General features: G+C 44.4%; 1 annotated feature.

Annotated features, from left to right (window-relative positions):
• Positions 3,032-3,533: an enhancer, noted in NCBI's record as "H3K4me1 hESC enhancer chr8:12070506-12071007 (GRCh37/hg19 assembly coordinates)". NCBI's record gives its function as "activates a minimal SCP1, AML or CMV promoter by ChIP-STARR-seq in primed H9 embryonic stem cells {active_cell/tissue: H9 hESC(primed)}" and the evidence as "EXISTENCE:reporter gene assay evidence [ECO:0000049][PMID:30033119]".

Genomic DNA, 4,294 nt, shown 5'->3' on the forward strand with positions numbered 1-4,294 from the left:
GTCTCCAGCTGAGACCACATCTCACTTAGCTCCTTTCCTGCCATATCCTGTTTTCCTTACTCCTATCTCCTGAGACTTCTTCCTGAATGAATTACATGCACTCAATCCCTGCCTCAGTCTCTGCTTTTAGGGAACTTGACCTAAGACAGAAATCTTAGTACTAAATACTTTGCAAGGCCTCAGAAGCTCTGCTATCCACAAGCAGGTGAGATATTACCTTCCCTACCACCTGGCAGTCATAGTCTATGATGCGATTCAGCTTTATGGAAGTGCTTCTCTAAAGAACTTCCCCCAATTTAAGACGATCTTAATTTGCTTACTTGTTTACTGTCCATTTAGCTGCTCTAAAATGTGAGCTCCAAATCAGGGGCCGTGTCTGGTTGGTTACTCATTTCCTGAGACCTGGAATGGGCCTAGCTCAGAGCAGGTGCTCACTATTGATGGAATGCATGTTGAAAGAATGCATGAATCTCATGTCTTTTTGTGGGTGAAAAACTCATCCTATTCTCACCCTGATTAACTTTCTTTCTTTCTTTATTTTTTTTTTTTTTTCAAAATGGAGCCATGATCTGTCACCCAGGCTGGAGTGCAATGGTGTGATCTCAGCTAGCTGAAACCTCTGCCTTCTGGATTAAACCAATTCTCCTACCTCAGCCTCCTGGGTAGCTGGGATTACAGGTGTATACCACAACGCCCGGCTAATTTTTTGTATTTTTAATAGAGACAGTGTTTCACCATGTTGGCCAGGCTGGTCTCGAACTCCTGACCTCGTGATCTGCCCTCTTTGGCCTCCCAAAGTCCTGGGATTACAGGCATGAGCCACCATACCCAGCCACTCTTGATTAACTTAATGGAAATATTTACAGAGATTCTTTCTCTTCTGGGTTCTAACGTCTTATCTGTAACCTCTGCAGGTAATACATTTTCCTTCCTGATGATAGCATTTCTATGGTTGCTTTCACTTGCAAATCCTCTAATACTTATTTATTCCATTTCTGATTGGCATTAGACATAATTCTCAATTTTTAGTGACAGCACTTCTTTTAACTTACATATAAATCGACTTTGTCTTGAAATGTGACATTGACTAGAAGGATGAAACTTCTAACATGCTGTAGAACATAGTTTGACTGGCTAATTTATTATTTAGAAGAAGCTAATATTGCCATTATGAGGGACTTAGGTGACTCTGAAGAACCAGTTTCATTTGTAATATTTGCAATGTTAAATCACAGACATTGCCAACGTGAAATAGTTTCCATATGCTGTGTTCTCAATACACACCTTTTCCAAAGATATCCCAAGCTGTAGTCTTAGAAGACTGTGATTTTTCTTATTTGTTCTCACAGGAATTTGGGGAGCTATGCTGGATCTCCATAAAATGAGCTCCAGAAAGACACGTGTGCACACACACACACTCACACATGTACCACACCGCACTTGACTCTGTTTATTTGGGACCCATGATTATCAGAAATGCTATTTTTAACAAATACTTCTGAGAAATAATCTGAACACTTAATTGGATGCAAAAGAGTGGCTATTTACTATTCTACCCTTTAATTAGCATAATCAGTGTTTCCAGCAGCAAAAGCAATTGGAAAATCGCTTGTTTTGTTAGGTTCATTCTTCTCCCTTAGCATAGTGTGGCATCAGCATGGCTATTATTCTTAAATTGCCTCTTTAAAACAAGAGCTGGTGCTTCTTACAGGCAATTCCTAACTCTTGGGTTTTGTAGAGGGTCCAAAACTCTTTAGAACCTATAATTCAAGGAAAGGCTCCACTTTGGTTTTGCATTTTGTCTGGTCTCTTTGGGTGACAGAATTTATGTCACAAGGTGCACATGTTTTGGGGAGGCTCATGGACAGCCCATCGCTCTTGTGCTTTGGTAGGAAATATGTGCAGTTATGGGGAAGGAGTTAGTTACTCATCTAGGGAACAATTGGGTAGAAAGAGATGGACTCCCTGTATTTGAAATTCAGAACTCAAGCTTGGCTCTAAGTGTTTCCTTGCTTTGCTGTGCTCCACGGGAGTCACTGAGCAGAAGGAAGCGAGTTGCCTGAGATTCCTCAAAGCCCGCAGCCCTTTTGGAGGTTACATTGTTATTCTCAGAGCCTTTATGATACATAATAAAGACCTAGCTTGGACCAACATTAGGATGAGTTATCTTGCTATTAACATTCTTTCAGGTAGAAGTTGCTTTTAGGTAGAAGTTGGTCCCATCTTGCTCACAATCCTCCAAAGCTTGGAAGTTACTTTCCAGGAGACTTAGCTTGCACTGAGAGCCGCCCTCCCACCCTCTCTCCAAATTTCCTCTTGGGAGTAGCCTAACAAGGTGCTGTCACAGGCCCTTGCCAGCCACGATGACCCCACCCAGACCATCCCTCTGCTGTTTCACTCTTTGATATTCTCTGGAGCTCTCTGGGGAGCGGTGAGACCTGCTGTCTGGTTTGTACGGTTTGCCCAGGTCTTACAGTCATGGCTGGCTGCCTCTCTCTGAGAACTGGGACTCCTGAACTTGGTGAAATACCTCAGCCATTGATCATGTTAAATTATCGGTGGCACTCATTTAAAATCCGAGTCTGCTCCAGATGGACTCTCTCTTTCTGCCCTGACTATGAGAGAGAGAGATCGTGAGAGACAGAGACCATGAGAAAGACCGTGAGAGAGAGACACAGAGCTAGAGAGAGAGACCGTGTCCTGACCTGCTGGACAGTGGAGATGCTTGTGGGCTGTGAGCAAGGGATGCAAAGGCTGCCGGGAATCCCATTTTTCCAGCATCATCTGCCAAGGCACATCAGTTCCTGGGTGTCTTGATGGGTTCTGGCAGCATTACTGTCATTGAAGGAAAACATTTTAGCCATATTAAAGGTGAATGCAGCAAGCTCCACACAGGCTGCCTGGAAGGGACGCGGGACAAGGGTAGGTTTTCCCTGTGATGGACAGGAGACAGGCGGCCCTCCCACAGCCCTGCCTGGCAAAGCAGATGTGTCCCCAAAAGGCACTGGGGGCAGCTGGAGTGCTGTGCGGAGGCGGGCTCACCCGGGCCCTGGGTTTGCTCTGATTGCAGCGGTTTCCCGCCAGCTCCTTGGAGAGCTGGCAGATGACCCAGCCCCACAGCAGGAGCTGTGAATGGCAGAACGAGATACAACAATTTGATATCCACTTGCCAGATGAGCCGGGTGTCGTCAGTCGCCTGGCTCTGCGCCAACCTCTTTTTGCACAAACACTTATGAATTCAGCCAGGAGGAAAAGCACTCTGATTATGAATTGAGCAGAAGGAAACAAAGTTCTGCGAATAAACACCAATGAGACAAAAAAAGACGAATAAGAAAAATGACAGAAAAGGAGAACCTTCCCAGAAGCCTCCTGCCAGTGAACAGCCACCGTAGCAAGAGCTTGGAGGCCCTGGGTTTTGAACTGTGAGATAAGGAAGATGATGAAAACCTCCCTAGCAGCCAGGCAAGCACAAGATTCCTGTAAAATCCAGGTCTAAGTGTTTTAACCACAGAAGTAATATTATGTCATAGGTGAGAGCTGTGAGTTGCTGAACCCAAAGTGAGTTCAAATCCGAGCTCTGCCTCCTGCTACCTGTGTGACTTTGAGAAGTTCCAGCACTGCTTTGTGCCTCAGTTTTGTCATCTGTTAAATGGGCATAATCACAGCTTGTGCCTCAGAGTTGTTGTAAATTAATACATGTAAAGCACTGAAATCAGCCTGGTATACAGTAAGTGTTATGAACGTTATTTTCTTGGAAGGACAGAACTTATTTTCATGGTCTAAGCCTGAAAGTCTAAAAAATGTGAGAGAAGAGGAAAGAATCTAGAGTCTCACCATGAGGGAGAAAAGTCAACTTGAAGCAGGACAGGGTCATTGACAATTTCCTGTGATTCTACAGCTGCCTTGTACACTATGGTAGCTCCTATCCACTTACTGTTTAGATTTTGTGATTTAGAAATGAATTAAGGGCAGGCATGGTGGCACACCTGTAATGCCAGCATTTTGGGAGGCCAAGTTGGGCAGATCACCTGAGGTCAGGCGTTCAAGATCAGCCTGGCCAACATGGTGAAATCTCGTATCTACAAAAATACAAAAATTAGCCGGGCATGATGGCGGGTTCCTGTAATCCTGGCTACTCAAGAGGCTGAGGCAGGAGAATTGCTTGAACCTGGGAGATGGAAGTTGCAGTGAGATGAGATTGCACCACTGCACTCCAGCCTGGAGGATAGAGTGAGACTCTGTCTGAAAAAAAAAAAAAAAAAAATTAAGAGAAAATTGAAAATTCAGTTCTTCA

The sequence above is a fragment of the Homo sapiens genome, chromosome 8 (assembly GCF_000001405.40).
Source record: "Homo sapiens chromosome 8, GRCh38.p14 Primary Assembly".
Classification (NCBI taxonomy): Eukaryota; Metazoa; Chordata; class Mammalia; order Primates; family Hominidae; genus Homo; species Homo sapiens.